This window comes from Homo sapiens, chromosome 20, assembly GCF_000001405.40.
Source record: "Homo sapiens chromosome 20, GRCh38.p14 Primary Assembly".
Lineage (NCBI taxonomy): Eukaryota > Metazoa > Chordata > Mammalia > Primates > Hominidae > Homo > Homo sapiens.
In genome coordinates this window covers 47,146,399-47,167,842 of record NC_000020.11, presented here as the reverse complement: position 1 = coordinate 47,167,842, position 21,444 = coordinate 47,146,399, and the positions used below count along the sequence as shown (strand labels likewise).

General features: G+C 47.8%; 1 protein-coding gene, 1 non-coding gene and 1 pseudogene across 6 annotated transcripts in view; 1 reads left to right on the top strand and 2 right to left on the bottom strand.

The window, feature by feature from the left end:
• The window catches only part of EYA2 (EYA transcriptional coactivator and phosphatase 2), a 294,002-nt gene that overhangs the window by 21,002 nt on the left and 251,556 nt on the right, over positions 1 to 21,444 (bottom strand). The gene's annotated exons all lie outside the window — the stretch shown is intronic.
• MIR3616 (microRNA 3616) lies at positions 785 to 876 on the bottom strand. The gene has a single exon (NR_037410.1). It is a non-coding gene; the product is annotated as a microRNA 3616 (primary transcript).
• On the top strand, positions 6,143 to 7,042 carry RPS2P54 (ribosomal protein S2 pseudogene 54; annotated as a pseudogene).

Below are 21,444 nucleotides of genomic sequence, written 5' to 3'. Positions count from 1 at the left end.
TCGGAACCTGCAAATCTATTACTTTAAATGGCAATCAGGACTTTAGTTCAGTTAGAGATCTTGAGGTGGGAAGTTTTTCCTTGGCTGTCGGGGTGGGCCCTAAATGGAATCACATGGGTCCCTGTAAGAGAGACAGTGATCTGATGACAGAAAGGAGAGGGTGACTGGAGTCATGTGCTTTGAAGATGGAAGAAGAGACCACAGTCAACATACACAAGTGGCCACTGAAAGAAAAACTAAAACAAACAAAAAACCAAAGGGCCAGGTGTGGTGGCTTACACCTGTAATCTCAGCATTTTGGGAGGCTGAGGCGGGTGGATCACTTGAGGCCAGGAGTTTGAGACCAGCCTGGCCAACATGGAGAAACCCCACCTCTACTAAAAATACAAAAAATTAGCTGGGCATGGTGGTGCACATCTGTGGTCCCAGCTACTTGGGAGGCTGAGGCACGAGAATAGCTTGAACCTGGGAGGCAGGAGGCTGCAGTGAGCTGAGATCACACCACTGCACGCCAGCCTGGGCGACAGAGCGAGACTCTGTCTCAAAAAAAAAAAAAAAAAAAGTAAAAAAACCGATTCTCCTCTCAGAGCCTGACCTCCAGAACTGTAAGAGGACACGTGTGTGTTGTTCGAAGCCAGTAACTGGGGGAAATTTGTTACAGCAGCCCTGGCGAACAAATACACCCACTTTTCAGATTAAGTGAGTGGAGCTGGGTTTCTGGCACTTTGCAGCCAAGAGTCGTAAGGGATGCCATGTCCCATGTGGAGCCTACACGATGCACACCTGCCAACCCCGCCTGCATCATGAAATGCCCTCGTGACACGCTGATGGGGCAAACATATCATGAGTGCACTTCATGATGCTGGCGGAGTGACATGATAATATGTTGATGGGGCAAAAAATGTGCGGGGGTGCCAGCCCCTGCGGTACTGGTTCAGGGTGCAGGCTCTGGAATCTGACTGCCTGGGCCTGGATCCTGGATCCAACCGCTTCCCAGTGTGTGACCTTGAGTGAGGGGCATGACCCTCATGAACCCCAGAGGCCTGACTGATAAATGGACCTGATAACTGAACCCACCTCCAGATGAGGTGAGGAGAAGCGAGATGCTGCATGAGAGCACCGAGAACAGTGTCGGGTGCACAGTGGCTACTGCATACATGTTAGTTTCTACCACTGTGTTAAGATCTTACACATTTTCCCACAGTTTAGTTGCAAGGTGATTTCTCGAGGCAGCTGCCTCCTTACAAAGGCTGCTGGAGGAGGAGAAGCACGTGGGACTCTGAGCTTGACTACTGAGAAAAAATTGGTTGTAACATCTCTGGAACCTTGATGGGAGTAGAGAAATTGGAAGAAAGGGTATTTGCAACATTTTGAACAGATCTCTTTTTAGACAATTGGACAAGCAAAAAGCTTTTTTTTTTTTTTTTTTTTTTTTTTTTTTTTTTTTTTAGACAGTCTTGCTCTGTCACCCAAGCTGGAGTGCAGTGGCACAATCTCAGTTCACTGCCACCACCTCCCAGGTTTAGGTGATTCTCAAGCCTCAGCCTCTCGAGTAGTTGGGACTACAGGTGTGTGCCACCATGCCTAGCTAATTTTTGTATTTTGAGTAGAGATGAGGTTTTGCTATGTTGGCCAGGCTGGTCTCAAACTCCTGGCCTCAAGAGATCCTCTAGTCTTGGCCTCCCGAAGTGCTAAGATTGCAGGCATGAGCCACCGTGCCTGGCCAAAAGGCTTGAATTTATCTTTGAGAATATAAGCTTTGCAGGGGGATGGTGGGAAGCCCCTGCCTCATTCATTTTTTTTCTTTTTTTGAAAAATAGAGATAGGGTCTCAATATGTTGCCCAGGCTGGTCTTGAATTTCTGGGCTCAAGTGATCCTCCCGCTGTGGCCTCCCAAAGTGGTAGAATTACAGGCCTCCTCATTAATTTTTAAAAGATACGTAAGGTAGTCTTGTTGTTATGGTGATGTTTAGGGAGGCAAGAGAGGGGTCAGTGGCATCTGGGGCAGCCTGGGTTGCCCTGTGGGGAGCTGGGCTGGAATCTGAGAGAGGGGTTGGCAAGGGGGTAGTGTGGCTGCTGGTCCCTCTCCAGCCCCTTGAAAGGGCCTCAGATTAGAAAGGGTTTTGATGAAAGGTGAGGCTTGTTTCCAGAGTCCTTGACACACATGGGCCCAGGCACAGCAACTTTGTGGCAGGTGACAAAGTGCAACTGCCGTTCTCGCCTCTGCATAGGACCTTGCACCTCTGTGACCCACGGGCAGCACCCTGGGTTTGGACAGTGGTGTGCTCTTAAGGCCTGGAGACCAACGGCAGCAGGGAAGTACCCCCAGGTGGCTTCCTAGGGGTCAGCTCTGGGCAAATGGGAGTAAGCAGATGGCCAAGAACACAGTGGATGCTAAAGGGTGACCCTGAATGAGAAACTCACTGGGAAGTGGGGGAGTGGAAGGACACTGAGTGACCACTCTTGAGCCAGCAGACATCTGGTTACACCTAAGCTTTTACTGCTCAGTATTTCGAATTTCCTTTCTTTCCATTTACCCAGGACTCTGATTAATGCTTGGTGGTCTCAGGTATAATCTACCCCCTCTCCCCAAGAAGGAGTGATCTTTTTTGCAGTAGTCAAGCACGATGATACCCTCCACATTGAAAGAATCTAGAGCCATGTTGTCTAATATGGTAGCAATTAGTTGCCTGTGGCTAGTTATAGTTATATTGAAATTCAGTAAAGTTAAATAACATTAAAGGTTCAGTTCTTTAGTCCTACTTCAAGTGCTCAAGAGCTACATGTAGCCAGTGGTTATTGCAGTGAACGCTGCAGATATTTTATCATTGCAGAAATCTCTACTGGACAGCGCTGCTCTAGAGGGGTGAGGGAGCCAGGCCGGCAGCTTGTCTACTGTGTTGATAAGTTCAGTTAGGGAAGAGCCTGCAAACTGGCCTGGAGACATATCTACTTAGCTCATTGCATGTTTAAATTTTTTTGAAGCAATGGGCAATATGTAAACTTGGGGGATGTCCTCTCTCTTTTCTCTCTGCCTCCTCTTCCCTTTCTCTTCTTGTTCTTGTTCTCTCTCCAGATTTTCAGCTACCTCCTTCAGCCAGGGCATCCATTTACAGTTTCCCACCATCTCTACGGGGCTTGCTTCAGTTTACGTTACCTGGATCCTTGACCCCCCTAGGCATGTGAGTCTGAGACCTCTGAGCCATGGCCATATAAATGGATGGCCTAGAATGAGCAATCCTGACATGTTAAGGAAAATGGGATTTAAACGGCAACCGCTGACTTTACAGACCCAGGCGCAGAGGAAACAGCAGATAGCCCCCAGCTCACTGCTTTGCCTGAAACTGGAAAAACACCCCCTCCGCCCCCCAGGCCTTTCCTCAAGCTCTGGAGCCACTCCTGGGGTCACCCGGGCTCAGGCCTCTGGGCAGGGTTCCATGCGCTTTCCTTGATGTCAGAGGAAAGGCATTTGGGGAGGCTCTGTTTTTCTCATTTGTAAGGGGATTGTTGGGGGCGCTAAAGTGTGACAACAGTAGCAATCACATTTCGGACTTAATAAAATACCGTGACGCTCAGCTAGACGCTACCTCATACTCCACCAGCTGACCTGGATCAAGTTACCCCTTGAGCCAGCTCGGAGGGGAGCTGGACCGCGCAGAGGCCACGAGGATGGGGGAGCCTCCAGGGAAGAGAATCCCACGACCCTCAGCGCTGCCATCCCTCTCCTAGGTACGAGGGTGAGGGGACTGTAAGTCAGAGGGGAGACTTGTCCACACGAACTGCAGGGTGCTTCTGGTCTCTTCCGGGTCAAAGTATGAGTATCTTGGGGTGGGTGCTGAATGGCATCTGCTGGCAGAGACGGTGGAAGGGTTCCCGTGGCCTTGACACAGGTGAAGTGCAGTGGGGCTGAGGACCGGGACCTGGTGCAATCCCCGTCTCGAGGGATTTTTACTTTCTGACCCAGAGTAACACCTGCAAAGAGCCTTGTGTAAAAATGTCCATCATCCTGGTGAGAAACTGGAAAACACCTAAAGTTCCCTTGATGAGGTCGTAGCTAAATAAAATGTGGTATATCCATTCAGTGGAATCCTACCCAGCAGTGCAGAAAAAGGAGGTGGATTTTTTTTTTTTTTTTTTTTTTTTTGAGACAGTGTTTTGCTCTTGTTGCCCAGGCTGGAGTGTAATGGTGCAGTCTCGGCTCACTGCAACCTCTTCCTCCCAGGTTCAAGCAATTCTCCTGCCTCAGCCTTCTGAGTAGCTGGGATTACAGGCATGCACCACCACGCCCAGCTAATTTTGTATTTTTAGTAGAGACGGGGTTTCTCCATCTTGGTCAGGCCGGTCTTGAACTCCCGACCTCAGATGACCCCCCTGCCTCGGACTCCCAAAGTGCGGGGATTACAGGCGTGAGCCACGTCCCAAGCCAAGGAGGTGAATTTTTATGCTAGCACATGGAAATGGTTCCAAGACATCCTGGAGTGTGAAAAACGCAGGTTAAAGAATCATACATCCGGCTGGGCGCGGTGGCTTACATCTGTAATCCCAGCACTTTGGGAGGCCAAGGTGGGCAGATAGCTTGAGGTCAGGAGTTGGAGACCAGCCTGGCCAACATAGTGAAACCCTGTCTCTATTAAAAATACAAAAAGTTAGCCAGGCATGGTGGCATACACCTGTAATCCCAGCTACTTGGGAGGCTGAGAAAGGAGGATCGCTTGAGCCCAGGAGGTGGAGGTTACAGTGAGCTGAGATGGCGCCACTGCACTCCAGCCTGGGTGACAGAGCAAGACTCTGTTTAAAAAAAAAAAAGAGTGATACACCCAGTATGATGCCATGTATATATTTATAAAATCCCATTAAAATATGAGATTTTTATATGGATATATTGTACATAACTGGAAAAAGAAAGATCTGGAAGCCCATACATCTGGCTGGAAGCAGCAGTTTCATATGGGGAGTCACTGGGATTGGGCTGGTGATCAAAGAAGGTTTTAGCTTATTGAAATACTTTCATTAAAAAAAATGAGGGCCAGGTGTGGTGGCTCACACCTATAATCCTAACACTTTGGGAGGCCAAAGAGGGTGCATCTCCTGAGCCCAAGAGTTTGAGACCAGCCTGGACAACATGGTGAGACTCTGTTTCTACCAAAAATACAAAAATTAGCCAGGTGTAGCGACATGTACCTACAGTTGTAGCTACTTGGGAGGCTGAGGTGGGAGGATCACCTAAGCCTGGGGAGGTCGAGGCTGGAGTGAGTTATGATCGCACCACTGTACTTCAGCCTGGGTGACAGGGCGAGACTGTGTCTCAAAAAAAAAAAAAAAAAAGGATAATGTGTGTATGTACTGCTTTTGAAAAAAATTAATTACAAATATCTCAGTGAGATAGAGACAAAAATCTCTATCACTGGACAGAAACTAGTATTGGACTAGGGATAGAAACTAGTATTTATTAAAAGCTTTCAATGTGCCAGGGACTATGGCCAGCACTTTCTATATATGTAGTGGGAAACTAGGAGAAAACGAGGCAGAGAGGAGTGTAGGAACATGCCTGTTATGGGTTGAACTGTGTCCCCTACAAGATGTTGAATGTGACCTTATTTGGAAATAGGGTCTTTGCAGATGATCACATTAAGATGAGGACCTTAGCGTGGGCCTTCATCCAATATGTCTGTGTCCTTATAAAGGGGGTATTTGGACACAGAGACAGAAGACGAAGAATGCCAGGTGATGACGAGGACAGAGACCGGGTGACATGTTCTCTACGAGTCAGAGGACATCCGAGACCACCAGGAGCTAGGAGAAAGGCAAGGAAAAGATTCTCCCTTGCAGCCCTCAGAAGGAACCAACCTTGATCTTGGACTTCTCGTCTCATGAACTGTGGGACAGTAAGTTTCTCTTGTTTAAGGCACCCAGTCTGTGGGACTTTGTAATGGCAGCCCAAGCAAACTCAGATGTGCCCAAGGCGAGGGGAAGAGGAGCCAGCACCCGGACCCATCTCCTTTCAGAGCCTGTGCTCGAGAAGATCTGTCTATCCCAAGACTATAAAAACACCTACTATGGGCCCGGCACCGCATCAGACAATGATGGGTCAAGAGAGGGGAAGCTTCTTTCTTCTCCAAGAAAACATCCGGTTTTGGGGGATGGGGGGCTGGAGGCCCTGGGGACCCTGGGATGGGGAACCACGGTGGCTTCTGTGGAGGCTTCAGCAGGGGCATCGGGGGCTGGGGTCATAGCCGCGGACAGGGCCCGGGCCAAGGCCGAGGAGCTCACAGAGGCAAGACCAAGGACAAGGAGTGGACGTCTATCCCCAAGCTGGGCCACCTGGTCAAGGACATGAAGATCAAGTTCCTGGAGGAGATCTATCTCTTCTTCCTGGCCATCAAAGAGTTTGAGATCATTGACTTTTTCCTGGGGGCTTCTCTCAAGGATGAGGTTTTGAAGATCATGCCAGTACAAAAGCAGACCCACGCCAGCCAGCGCACCAGGCTCAAGGGATTTATTGTCATCGGTGACTATAATGGTATGTCGATCTGGGTGTTAAGTGCTCCAAGGAGGTGGCCACGCCATCCGCGGGGCCATCATCCTGGGCTAGCTCTCCATTGTCCCCATGTGCAGAGGCTACTGGGGGAGCAAGATCGGCAAGCCCCACACCGTCCCTTGTAAGGTGACAGGCCACTGTGGCTCTGTGCTGGTGCACTTCATCCCTGCACCCAGGGGCACTGGCATCATCTCGGTCCCCATGCCCAAAAGCTGCTGCTGATGGCGGGTATCTATGACTGCTACGCCGCAGCTGCACTGCCACCCTGGGAAACTTCGCCAAGGCCACCTTTGATGCTATCTCTAAGACCTACAGCTACCCGACCCCCAACCTCTGGAAGGAGACTGTATTCACCAAGTCTCCCTAGAATTCAGGAATTCAGGTCAGGAATTCACTGACTACCTTGTCAAGACCCCATCAGAGTCTCTGTGCAGAGGACTCAGGCTCCAGCTGTGGCTACAACATAGGGTTTTTATACAAGAAAAATAAAGTGAATTAAGCTTGAAAAAAAAAAAGAGAGGGGAGGCTTCAAGGATGAAATCTGGCTCTTGCCCTCACAGTGCCTATCATGTCACTGGAAAAGACAAGGCAAAGAGGCATGAAATACCAAATTGCTGATTCAAGATGCGTACACACTGATCACCTTCTATGTTCCCAACACTGGCCTAGGCACTGCATGTGTCTTGGAGTTATCCCCGTCTCCTCTCTCTGACATCCTGCCACCCATCCATCACCAAATCCTGTTGGCTTTCCCTTCGACATATACCCACAATCTGACCATTCTCACCTCCTCCACTGCCCGCACCGCCCCCCGCCCCACCGTGGTCCAAACCACCATCATCTCCCACCTAGATCAGAGGTTAGTAAGCTATAACCCAGGGGCCAAATCTGGCCTGTCGCCTGTTTGTGTAAATAAAGTTTTATTAGAACACATCTATGTTCATGCAATTACATCCTGTCTGCTGCAGCTTTTGTGCTACTGCAGGAGAACTGAGTAGCTGAGACAGGTCCACTATGATGTGCAAAGCCAAAAATATTTACTATCTGGTCCTTTACAGAAGTTTGTTGACCCCTGGTGTAGGCTACTACAGTCACCTCCTCACTCTTCCTGCTCCTATCCTTATCTAGCCCCTATCCTCCCAGCCTAGTCTCCAGCCAGCAGCCAGAGGGATCCTGTTCAACCCTAAGTCAGATCACGTCCCGCTCCTGCTCAAATCCCCACAATGGATATCACCTCCCTCCAAATAAAAGCACAGTCCTCACAGTGGAACCTGGCTCCATGTGGTCTGCCCACCCTCAGGTTCATCACCTCCCTGACCTCATCTCCTACCCTCTCCTCACTACACTGCCCACACAGTGGCTTCCTGCAGCTCACTGCAGCCTCCGCCTCTCAGGTCAGTGATTCTCCTGCCTCAGCCTCCCAAGTAGCTGGGATTACAGGCATGCGCCACCATGCCTGGCTAATTTTTGTATTTTTAGTAGAGACAGGGTTTCACCATGTTGGCCAGACTGGTCTCGAACTCCTGACCACAAGTGATCCGCCCACCTTGGCCTCCCAAAGTGCTGGGATTCCAGGCATGAGCCACCGTGGCTGGCCTGGAATAGTTTTAGATTTACAGAAAAGTTGCAAAGATAGTACAGAGAGTTCCCATACACCCCACACCCACTTTCTCCTTTTGTTAACTTCTTACATTAGTATGCTGCATTTGTCAAAACTAATAAGCAGATAGTGCTGTGTTAACTACTGTCAATTACTTATTCAGATTTTTAAGGCTTTCCCTGTACTGTTCTTGGACTGTTTCAGGATCCAAGGTGGATATCACATGACACGTAGTTGTCCTGTCTCCTTAGGCTTCTCTGGTTTGTGACAGTTTCTCAGGCTTTCCTTGCTTTTGAGGACGGTGTGAAGGAGAACTGGTCAGGTATTTTGTAAAATGTTTGTCAACTGGGATTTTTCCGATGTTTTTCTCATGATGACACCGGGTTCCTGGGTTTTGGGAAGGTCACAGATGGGGAGTGCCATTCTCTTCATATCACATCAAGGGTAAATATTATCAACATGACTAATCACTGTTGATGTTGACCTTGATCACCTGGCTCAGGTGGTCTTCATCAGGGTTCTCCACTCCGAAGTTACTATTCCCCTCATCTATATTGTACTCTTTGGAAAGAAGTCACTATGCGTGGCTCACACTATGGGTGTAGTATCTACATAAGTTACCTGGAATTTTTCTGTGTGGGAGATTTGTTTAGTCTCCCCACTTATTTATTTATGCAATCATTTATCTACATCAGCATAGACTCATACATACTTATTTTATACTTTGGGTTAGAATCTGATATTACATTATTTATTTTATTATTCCAGCTTTTATTTTATTTTGCTCTCCTTTTTATTTATTGTTCCAGATTTGGCCATTGGGATCTGATATTATATTATTTATTTTATTACTCCAGCTTTTGTTTTATTTTGTTGTTCTTTTTATCTTTCTGGATTTGGCCATTGGGAACTCTTTTCAGTTGGATCCTGTGTTCCTCTGGCATAACGTATCACTTTGGGTTTTCCTGAGCAATTCCTTACTTTACGGTGCTAAAAGATGCTCTGGGATAATCATATAGTTCTTGGCCCAGCCCTAGAATCAGCCATTTCTCCATGGAGCTCTGGTTCCTTTTTCTTGCAGCGTGGTATTAGAAACTGTTATCTGAGTATCCTCATTGCTACAAGGGTGTCATCGTTCCTGGGCTCAGGTAACACAGCAAGGTCTTCAGTTTCCTTTTTTTTTTTTTGAGACAGAGTTTCACTCTTGTCACCCAGGCTGGAGTGCAGTGGGGTGATCTCGGCTCACTGCAACCTCCATCTCCTGGGTTCAAGCGATTCTCCTGCCTCAGTCTCCCAAGTAGCCGGCATTACAAATGCCTGCCACCACATCTGGCTAATTTTTTGTATTTTTAGTAGAGATGGGGTTTCATCATGTTGACCAGGCTGGTCTCAAACTCCTGACCTCAGGTAATCCCACCCACCTGGGCCTTCCAAAGTGCTGAAATTACAGGCGTGAGCCACTGCACCCAGACAGTCTTCAGTGTTTTTTAAAAAATTACAAAATATGGTTATTCTATCTGCTTGCAGGTGTGTTACGAGGCAAGGGGCAGGTGTCAAATAAATGATACCAATTATAGTCCAGACCCCTCTTTTCACCAGTGTGGAAACTAAAGCTCAGACAGGATCTGCAGAAAACTTCTGTAAAGAGTCACAGGGCATGGATGAAGGTAGGTGCTGGGATCGCAGGGGCCTTCCAACTTCAGCAGCGACGACCGCAATTTGTCCATTTGTCATATGCGCTGTAACTCCAGTGTCAGCTTTAGGGTGATGTTAGTCTTATAAAATGTGTGGGAGAGCATTCCATCTTTTTCTTTGCTCTGTAGTTTATGCTGGATGAGATTTATCCTTTCCTTGAAGTTTTGTTGGAACTCTTGTTTAAAACCAGTGGGACCTGGTGCCTTTTTTGGTGGGGGCACCAAAAACGCACTTTCTCTTTAATGATTTAACAAATTTTCATGATCTTTGGTTTGTTGTATTTATTTTTATTTCCACTTGGGCTAATTTCAGTAATTTGTGTCTTCCTGAAAAGTGTCAATCTCACCTAGATTTTCAAATTCATTGGTAAAACAGTGTGCCTGGCATTCTTGTAATTAAAAGAAACAACCTCCCCTGGATTTTAGTAATGTCCACCCTTTCATTCTGGATGTTGTTTATTGATCTCTCTCTTTTCCCCTTTGATTAAGCTTGCTAAAGCCTTATCTATTTTAACGGTCTTTCCAATTATTCTTATGAATTTTCCTGTTTTTCTAACAAATGTCATTTAGGACTGTAAATGCCAATCTGGACTGCCCTTCTGCATCCCACAGGTATGATACTTAGTACTCTTTTTTTTTTTTTTTTTTTTTTTTTTTGAGACGGAGTCTTGCTCTGTCACCAAGGCTGGAGTGCAGTTGTGCAATCTCGGCTCACTGCAACCTCCGCCTCCTGGGTTCAAGTGATTGTTCTGCCTCAGCCTCCTGAGTAGCTGGGACTACAGCGTGCACCACTATGCCTGGCTAATTTTTGTATTTTTAGTAGAGATGAGGTTTCACCATCTTGGCCAGTCTGGTCTCGAACTCCTGACCTCAAGTGATCTGCCCTCCTCAGCTTCCCAAAATGCTGGAATTACAGGCATGAGCCACCATCCCCAGCCGATACTTAGTATTACTGTTGTTGCACGTTGCTGATCAGTAAACTCAGTGACAAATACTTATCAAAACCTGTTCTGATTGAGCTGGTGACAGCTGGGGTTTCTCAAACTCTCCTGCTGTGGTTTGATTCCATTACTTTTTGTCTTTGGCTGCTTGGAGACATGAATGCAGAAATTGTTGACAAATTTGCGTTAGAAAAATGATGCTCATCAGGGCCCCGATGAACTTCCTGGCTGCTCCTTCTCCTCTGAGGCAGGTATATTTTTCAAGTGAGATTGCTTAATGCTGCCTCCAGACTAGCCAGAGAGGAGTCTACTCCCTGGGAGGGAAACCTGGGCCACATCTCTTGTGCTAAGTGTTTAACTTATCTTAAGAGCGCTAAAGAGGCTGTGGCCTGAATTGTATTAATGACCATTGGGCAGGATGCTTTGGAGAGAGTTCAGTGTTAACACAGTGACATATTATTTTCCTGATGGCTCCTAAAGCTATCAGGATAAATCACACGTTTAGCAACCAGGCTCATGTGTCAGGCAAGCAGCCATGGCTGCCCTGATTTCAGCAACTTCTGAGTCTCTCCGGCATGGTCTTTCCTAAAGCCCTGGCTGCATCTTGAAATGCTCCCCTTCCAGCCTGCCCGAATGCCTGGCCATTCCTGCGTCAGGCTAGGGATACCTTTTGCCAAAGATCTTTAGCGTTACCTTGTTTCTCCTGAAAGGCTCTTTCCTTATTTTTTTATTTTTTGAGATGGAGTCTTGCTCTGTTGCCCAGGCTGGAGTGCAGTGGTGCTATCTTGGCTCACTGCAACCTCTGTCTCCCGGGCTCAGGCAATTCTCCTGCCTTAGCCTCCCGAGTAGCTGGGACTACAGGCATGCACCACCATGCCCGGCTAATATATATATATATATATATATATATATATATATATATATATATATATATATATATATGTGTGTGTGTGTGTGTGTGTGTGTGTGTGTGTGTGTGTATGTATATATATGTGTGTGTGTGTGTATGTATATATATGTGTGTGTGTGTGTGTATGTATATATATATATATTTAAGTAGAGACGGGATTTCGCCACATTGGCTGGGCTGGTCTTGAACTCCTGACCTCAAGTGACCTGCCCACCTTGGTCTCCCAAAGTGCTGGGATTACAGGCATGAGCCACCATGGCTGGCCCCCTGAAAGACTCTTTTCTTCCATCCATTCAGTTGATGCATGTTCTCCACTTCCTAGTTCATCTCAAACTCTATTCTCCATGAAAGATAGACATTAGCAGAGAAGTCATTTGGCCTGGGATCAAATCTCCACATTCTTCTTACTAGCTGTGTGACCCTGGGAAAGGGATCTTTCTGGGCCTCAGTTTCCTCATCTGTAAAATGGAGATTGAAAAAACCATCTCCTTTGCAGGGCTGCTGTGAGGATGCGGTGAGATGGTTCATGCGCAATGCCTGGTGCAAAAGAAGAGCTTGATATGCGTCAGCTGTCGCACAAGTGAACCGCTCTGTGCCTCAGTTTCCCCATCTCTAACATGGGGATACATAACAGTACCTGCCCTCTGTGGTTGTTGTAAGGGTTAATGAATGGGTACAGACAAGCCCTTCAGTCACTGCCAGGCACACAGTCGCATGCAGGACACACTAGCTCCCATCGGGATTGTGCTTGTTACTCCCACATGTGCACTCAGCATGTGGGAGTAACATGTCTTTTCTAGAAGGTGCATTCAGATCCCTTGCACATTGCTTTGATCACCTCCAGGCGATTCATCCCCTCAGCGGGGAGTGAAGGATGCTGTCGTGTTCATGTGGTTGCTTGTTGCTATTTGTGTGAGTTTTACTTTGCATAAGGTGCTATGCAAACTCACAGCAGAGGAATCTAATAATTCGATTTTTCATCTTACAAAGACATGAAAAATCTTGGCCAGGTGCGGCGGCTCACGCCTGTAATCCCAGCACTTTGGGAGGCTGAAGTGGGTGGATCACTTGAGGTCGGGAGTTTGAGACCAGCCTGACCAACATGGTGAAACCCTGTCTCTACTAAAAATACAAGAATTAGCCAGGTGTGGTGGCTTTAGGAGCTATCAGCTGGTGGTCCCAACTACTCGGGAGGCTGAGGCATGAGAATTGCTTGAACCAGGGAGGTGAAGGTTGCAGTGAGCTGAGATCGCAGCACTGCACTCCAGCCTGAGAGACAGAGCGAGGCTCCATCTCAAAACACACACACACACACACACACACACACACACACACACACAAAACAAAATAAACAAAAACAAAATCAGAAAAACCCAAAGAGATGAAAAATATTTGTTTTCTCCATGAACATTGGGACTTCCTCCTCCTCCTGGTGTCAGATCTTGGCTTTCCGCCACCACACTTCTCAGTGACTCCAGCCTCCCTTGCACTTTCTTTTCTTCCTTTGAGTCCACTGTCTGCGGCACTGCACGAGCTCCTAAATTCTTACTGGGAATCCTTTTTCTCAAACCAGACGGACATCACTGTCCCTGGCAGGGGCAACACAGCACCATGGGTAAGGGCAGGGTCTCTGGAGCCAGGCCACCTGGGTCTGAATATTGCCACTGCCAACTATGTGACTTGGGCTGTTCACTTAGCCACTCTCTGCCTCAGTTTCCTCATTTGTAAAATGGATGTTATGAACTGAACGTTTGTGTCTCCTCCCAAAATTCATATGTTGAAAATCTAACCTCCCTATGTGGCTGTATTTAGAGGTAGGGCCTCTAAGGAAGTAATTAAGTTTAAGTGAGGTCACAGGGTGGGGCCCTAACCCAATGGGATTGGTGTCCTTGTTAGAGGAGACACCAGACAGCTGTTTTCTCTCTCTGGCTCTCTCTCCATGTACATGCATTGAGGAAAGGCCGGGTGAAGACACAGCAAAAATGCAGCCATCTGCAAGCCAAGAAGAGGGCCCTCACCAGAAACCAACTTTGCCAGCACCTGGATCATGGACTTCCAGCCTGCAGAACTGGGAGAAAGAAAATTTCTGTCGTGTAAGCCACCCGCTCCATGGTATTTTATTAGGACAGACTGAGCAGACTAGTATAATGGGGATCATAATAGGATTAAATAAAGTGAAACATACAAGCCAGCTAGAACAGTGCCTGGTATGTAGTGAGTGCTCAGTAAATGTCAGTTATTATTGAGATCTGGTTCAGACGAAGAAGTGGAAAGTCAGCCAAGTTAAATACCTCCTTCAAGGTCTTAGAGCTCAGAAGAATCAAGGTCAGAATTGGAACTTAGGTCCTCTGATCCCAAATAGTATCCCATTCCTTCCACGGTGCCAGGCCTCTTAGTGGATGGCACTCACCCGGATACAGCCATGCTCCTTCATGTCGCACCTTCACGGATTTAGCCATAGAGGAGTCCCCACTTTCACTAACTTCTCAGTCTTTTTTTTTTCTGAGATATTCTTGCTCTGTCACCCAGGCTGAAGTGCAATGGTGTGATCACAGCTAGCTCACTGCAGCTTCAACCTCCCAGGCTCAATTGATCCTCTACCTCAGCCTCCCAAGTAGCTGGGACTATAGGCACTCATCACCATGCCCGGCTAATTTTGTTTTGTTTTTTTTTGTATTTTTTGAAGATATGGGGTTTTGTCATGTTGCCCAGGCTGGTCTCAAACTCCTGTGCTCAAGTGATCCTCCCGCCTCAGCCTCCAAAAGTGCTAGGATTACAGGCATGAGCCACTGCGCTTGGCCTCCTCATTTATCTTTACACTGATGCTCTTTCACAAACCTACGCTTCATCCTGGGCATCATTACCTATGACATCACTGGTTTGATGTACTGGTCATTTTTCCCCTAAAACACGAGTAAGAAAAAGCCATACATTTAACAAAGTGGTTTTTTGTTTTGTTTTGTTTTGTATTTTAATTAAGAGCAAACCACATGAAACCTGGATCATGCTGTGCACAAGGCATCCATAAATACTGCTCAGCTGACTGACATCTCTCAGGGACTCAGTGTGGTGGGCATTTGGGTGGGACAATTCCACTTTGTACAAGACTGTCCAACATATTGGGTTGAGTGGTATTGCTGGCCCGGCCTCTAAAAGCAAACAGTGCTTTCCCTTCATGTGACAACCAACTACCCCAACCCCCAGTTTCTTTCTTTTTTTTTTCTTTTGAGACAGAGTCTCAACTGTGTCACCCAGGCTGGAGTGAAGTGGTGTGATTTTGGCTCAATGCAATCTCTGCCTCCCACCCACCCCCAGTTTCTTTTTTTCTTTTCTTTCTTTTTTTTTTTTTGAGACTGAGTCTTGCTCCATCACCCAGGCTGAAGTGCAGTGGCGCGATCTCGGCTCACCGCGACCATTGCCTCCTGGGTTCGAGTGATTCTCGTGCCTCAGCCTCCTGAGTAGCTGGGATTACAGGCACCCGCTGCCACACCCATCTAATTTTTGTATTATTAGTAGAGACGGGGTTTCACCATGTTGGCCAGGCTGGTCTCGAAGCCCTGACCTCAAGTGATCTGCCACCTCAGCCTCCCAAAGTGCTGGGATTACTGGCGTGAGCCACCATGCCTGGCCCCACCCCTAGTTTCTAATGCGCCCCCCTATCCATCCAAGGGATGGGGCTGCCCTCAGGTGGGAATGCTGGTCTAGTTAAACACACTGACACTAATGTGAATGAGAACATTCAGAATGCCCACTCTTTGAGAAAAAAAAAAAAAAAGGTACACTCCCCTGTCCTCCCAACACACAAATGACACTGCTAAGGAGCAGGGCTGGTAATTCACAATACAGGTGGTAGGAGGTATGTGTACAGCGTGGAGGAATAATCCAGGGCAAACATGCCAGACTAGAGGATCTAGCAAATGAGGAGAATGGGTCAGAGTCCAGGCACCCGGCTGAGGTTGCAGAACCAGAAACCAGGATTTGAGGAGAAGAAAATGCAGTAAATGGAAATTGAGGTCTGTAAAATAGGAGGTGAGAATTAAGTGCTGGCAGGAATCTGAGCTCTTCGTCGAGAAGAGGTCCCTGGATTGCTAACCTCTAGAGTTCTGCAGATAAGAGAAATACATCCTGTTTTGTATGGACGACGTTAACCTACTTAATTTCTAATAAAGTCAAAGGCACATAAACAAAGTCAGTTTCCTGAAAGTTAGAAATTCCAGAAGGCAGTTGTTACCATGGATGGGGTCGTAGGGCAAGATCATCAACCGTCAAGAAACAACGATTTACTGATCACCTACTATGTGCCAGTTATAGCAGTGAACACAGTGGACATGTTCTCTGCCCTCCTGGAATACACAGCTGGTGGGGAACACAGAATTCACATCAATTACTTTAAATAATTATGAAATGGTTACAAAGAGTACAAAATGTACCGCATAAGTATGAGGCGTCCTGGGAGCATATGATGGCAGAATCTAACCTTTTGAGGGGAATCGGGTAAGACTTCCCTAAGGACATGGAACTGGTTCAGAGATTTAAGAGGTGCATAGGAACTGGCGAGGCCTTGGACCTTGAGAACAAGAGGAGGGGAGAATGGTGGGGAAGCGTGTTCCATACAGAGGGCATGGCGTGGGCAGAATCTTAAGGTAGTGGGGAGCATGGATGTTCAAGGAATTAAAAAAAGACCATTGGATCTGGAGTGGAGCAAATGATGAAAAGAGTAGGAGAAAAAGAGTCTGGAGAGGCAGGTGGGGTCAGTCCATAATAGCTCACTGAAGAGCTTTTTTTTTTTGAGATGGAGTCTCGCTCTGTTGCCCAGGCTGGAGTGCAGAGGTGTGATCTTGCCTCACTGCAACCTCTGCCTCCTGGTTTCAAGCGATTCTCCTGCCTCAGCCTACCGAGTAGCTGGGATTACAGGTGCCCACCACGATGACCTGCTAGTTTTTGTATTTTTAGTAGAGACAGGCTTTTGCCATGTTGGCCAGGCTGGTCATGAACTCCTGACCTCAAGTGATACACCTGCTTCGACCTTCCAAAGTGCTGGGATTACAGGCGCAAACAACTGTGCCCAGCCTACTGAAGAGTTTTAAGCAGGTGACATGTTCAGCTTTCCTTTTCACCTCTCTGGCTACTGTGATGAAAACCGAGGAAAGGTGTCAGGATGAGACTGCCAGCTGACCCTCAATACCCAATTCACTTCCCCCTTTATTAGTAGCAGTTTTTATTGGCACGTGACTGTCCAGAATAAAGACTACATTTCCCAGGCTCCCTTGCCTTGGAAGGTGTGGCCAAGTGACTATGTTAAGGCCAATGGGGTGTGAGCAGAAGAGAGAACTGCAACCGCTGGGTGGTGCCCTTCTCTGTCTCTGCCTCCTTTTCCCTGCTGCCTGGAATGTGCCTGGAATAGGTGGCTCATGCCTGTAATCCCAGCAGTTTGAGAGCCCAAGGCAGGAGGATTCCTTGAGACTACGAATTTGAGACCAGCCTGGGTAGCATAGGAGACTCCATCTCTACAGAAAATAAAAATATTAGCGGAGCATGGTGACGCCTGCCTATAGTCCCAGCTACTCAGGAGGCTGAGGTGGGAGGATGGCTTGAGCCCAGGAGGTCGAGGCTGCAGTGAGCCATGACCATGCCACTGCACTCCAGCTTGGGTGACAGAGTAAGACCCTGTCTTTCGGGGGGTGGGGGAAAAGGAAGCCGCTGTGCCTGGGCTTCTGGCATGGAAGAGCTGCCTTTCTGGCCCTAGACTGTTCACATTTCAGATTTCCTCATGAGAGAGAAACAGATCTGTGTTGTACTTAAGCCTCTTTATTTTGATGAGCTTGTATCCTAATTCATAGACAGCAGGGGGACAGTGAGAAGGCCGTGATGACGTCCAAGAGAAAGATGATGGTGACTTAGACCACAGAGGTAATGGCAAGGGGAGTGAAGAGAAGCGGACAGGGGCCAGGACCAGAGAATGCAGCAGAAACTCAGGTGAGGCAGGATGACGCCAGGTGCCTCCAACCTCAGCCACTGCTGTGCGACCATTGACTCCCTGGCCAGATGCATTAATTCCACCCTCCTGGGGCCAAACTCTTTGCCTCCCTCTTACTACTGCCCTCACCATGCCAGCCCCTGGACATCTTCTTCAGGGACAGCACCTCACTCAGGCACACCTCCTGGCTTCCAGAGGACACCCTGACATTGACAGATTGCCTGCTAAGGCAAGGGAGAGCAAGGAAGGCCCCCTCCTCAGTCCTGCTGCATCTTGCCTGCAAATCTTGCGTGTGTGTATGTGTGTATGTATGTATTTATTTACTTATTTTGAGATGAAGTCTTGCTCTGTTGCCCAGTCTGGACTGCAGTGGTGTGATCTCGGCTCACTGCAACCTCCGCCTCCTGGTTTCTGCTGCCTCAGCCTCCCAAGTAACTGAGATTACAGGTGCACGCCACCCTGCTTGGCTAATTTTTTTTTTTTTTTTTTTTTTTGTATTTTTAGTAGAGATGGGGTTTTGCCATGTTGGCGAGGCTGGTCTTGAACTCCTGACCGCAAATGATCCACTGTCTCAGCCTCCCAAAGTGCTGGGATTACAGGCATGAGCCATCGTGCCTGGCCCAAACTTGTGTTCTTTTAATATATACCAAGAAGAATGTGATGCCCAGCAGGCAGGGGGTACCTAAGACAGTTCTTGTCAACACACCTGCCATTTTAACCAAGAGGATGGGGGCCGTTACAATCTTTAGGGCCACCAAACGCCATGGATGTGGATAGCAAATCACCAGAGAGTTTCGGTGGTGTGATGAGCTGATAATGAAAATCTGCAACTGGAGAGTCAGCCTATCTTCTCTGTCTACTTTAGATCCCTTTTCTTCTGGCTTTATATCTATTTATGATGCCTTTGTTTATAGGTACCTTTGCTTGTTAACTTCTTTTTCATGCCCGAACTAAATGTCCCCTTGCTGAAATTTGGAATCATCTTTAATCACACTGCCTATAAAATTTCAGCCATTCAACATAAATCTAGGTTTTAAATGTATTTTAAATTAAAGTTGTGACATCTCAAAACATAAATAATACTTGTTTTTTTTTTTTGTTTTTTGGAGATGGAGTCTCCCTCTATCGCCCAGGCTGGAGTGCAGTAGCACAGTCTCGGCTGCCAGGCCTCCCCAATCTCTTCTTCTCACAGGGCAGGGCTGAACAGTATCTCCTCCTGGCTGCATCCGAGCCCAGAAGTCAAAACCTAAGGGGTCCCTGCTTGGCTGGGACAGAGGCCGCAGACCTAGGTCCAGCTCTGACTCGACAGTGGCACATCCCTGTGAAGTAGGGCTTGGGGGCTTCCCATGAACAGCTTTCAGAGTGAGTGCAGTAGAGTGGGGCTGGAGGACAGTTTTGACAGATCTTGAGCAGGTGCTTGAATTTTAACCCAACATCCACCCTTACCCATGACCCAGGTGACATTTCAGAGGAGGGTTCACCTGCCCTGCAAAGTAAGAGCTGCAAAATCAGCAGCTCTTGCACAAAGGCAAAGTGGCAGGGAGCAGGGGAGGGAGTGTCGATATTTATGCCCAAGCTGCAGCAGTTGGCTGGGACCCAGGCCTGGTCTGCTCATGACTGTCATCATCTTTGTCATATTTCTGTTGCCTATACTTTTATAAAATGATTGTAAAATCAGGGGTCGGCAAGCTAGTTATAGTTTTCTAATTCACAGTAAAATAAATATGTAGCAATTAAACAATTTGCCCTGGTACCATAGAACCCCCACTTGCCTATCCCCAGGGACACATGTAGCCCCTGTAGCCCCCTGGTGGAAAGGCCCCCACATTGGGCAGGTATGCCAGGCTCTGTGCTGACTGCTTTCACATAGCTCCATCCTTACAGCCCTAGATGGTGGGGGCTTTTCTTCCACCCATTTAACAGATGAGCAAACTGAGGCTCAGAGGGATGGAGAGACTTGCCCAGGTTAGGAGATGGTGGATCCAGGACTCAACAGCAGATGGAACTGATTAGAAGGCTTTTGTCCTCAACTTGGGACATGCGTGCAGAATATCCTAAGATACAGCTGCATGTGGCACCTTCTGTGTCCCGGACCATTTTTTTTTATTCTTTTTTTTTTTTTTTGAGACAGAGTCTTGCTCTGTCGCCCAGGCTGGAGTACAGTGGGGCGATCTCTGCTCACTGCAGCTTCCGCCTCCTGGGTTCCAGTGATTCTCCTGCCCCAGCCTCCTGGGTAGCTGGGATTACAGGCGCCTGCTACCACACCTGGCTAATTTTTGTATTTTTAGTAAAGACGGGGTTTCACCATGTTGGCCAGGCTGGTCTTGAACTCCTGACCTCAAGTGATCCACCCGCCTCGGCCTCCCAAAGTGTTAGGACTACAGGCGTGAGCCACCGCACCAGGCCAATCCTGGACCATTCTTTAAACCCCACAGATTCTTTCCCCTGGGAGTCTGGAAGTTGCTGATTTAATGCGGATGCCTGCTTCAATCCTTGTCCTCTGGAGTCTGTTCTCCACCAGGCAGCCAGAGGCAGCTTCTGAACCAAAGTCACATCATGTTGTTCCAAACCCTCCAGTGGCTTTTGTCACCCTTGGCTGTTACCCAAAGCCTTACAATGGCCCAAAGGCGTCACCCTCATTGCCCACCACAATTCTTCCTGTTCCCTCTGCTTCAGTCTTGCTGGTTTCCTCCCAGTTTCTGGAGCCCATCAACTCTAATCATACCTTGGCCTTTGCACAGTGCTTCTATCTGGAACACTCTTCACCCAGATATCGGCATGGCCTCCTCCTCCACCTCCTTCAGGTCTTTGCTCAAAAGTCAGAAGAGCCTGGGTGCGGTGGCTCACACCTGTAATCCCAGTACTTTGGTATTTTGGGGGTTGAGGAGGGTGGATCACTTGAGGTCAGGAGTTCGAGACCACCGTGCCCAACAAGGTGAAGCCCTGTTTCTACTAAAAATACAAAAATTAGCTGGACATGGTGGCGTGTGCCTGTAATCTCAACTACTTGGGAGGCTGAGGCAGGAGAATCGCTTGAACCCAGGAGGCAGAGGTTGCAGTGCGACAAGATCGTACCTCCAGCCTGGACAACAGAGTGAGACTGTCTCAAAAAAAAAAAAAAAAAAAAAGTCAGAGGAGCCTCTCCTGGATATAACAAGTAAAAACCACAAAACAAAAGCCCTGGTGAGAGCCTCCTCCCTGACTCTCTTGGTCTCTCTTCAGAGCACTTTGCTCTGACATTATACTTTGCATTCCATTGTTTATGGTCAGCCTCCTGAACTGGAAGGTCAATGCCTTGTGGGCACGGGTCTTGCTGTGTTTGGTTTGCTGCTGAATCCACAGCATTCCATTAGGGCCTGGCAAATGGTAAGCCCTTCATAAAGCGCTGCTGGACGCGGGAAGGAACTCCCTTACAGGTGGTACTACTACAGGCTCGGAGAACAAAGGCTTCTGGCTTTGCCGGGCCTTGAGCACGCCTCTCTCTGGTCCACACAGCTTCCCTGGGCAGCTGCAGAAGGCTGTGCTTTAGATTTTGACAGGGACTGCCTTGCACCAACAAACAATATGTTTTCACTTGTGTGGATTTTAACTTCATCATCGTATAACGTGGTTTCAATTCTGCTGAGGTGCCCTGGGGGGCTTCTGGCACTGGGACATTTTCGAAATAAATTTAGAAAATAAAAACAAACTGGCTTCCCTAAGTAGCTCCAGCTGGTAATTAAGATCCTCCTTCCAGAGGTGCAACTTCGACTTCAGGGGCCAGACAGAAACAGCAGAGTGGGGC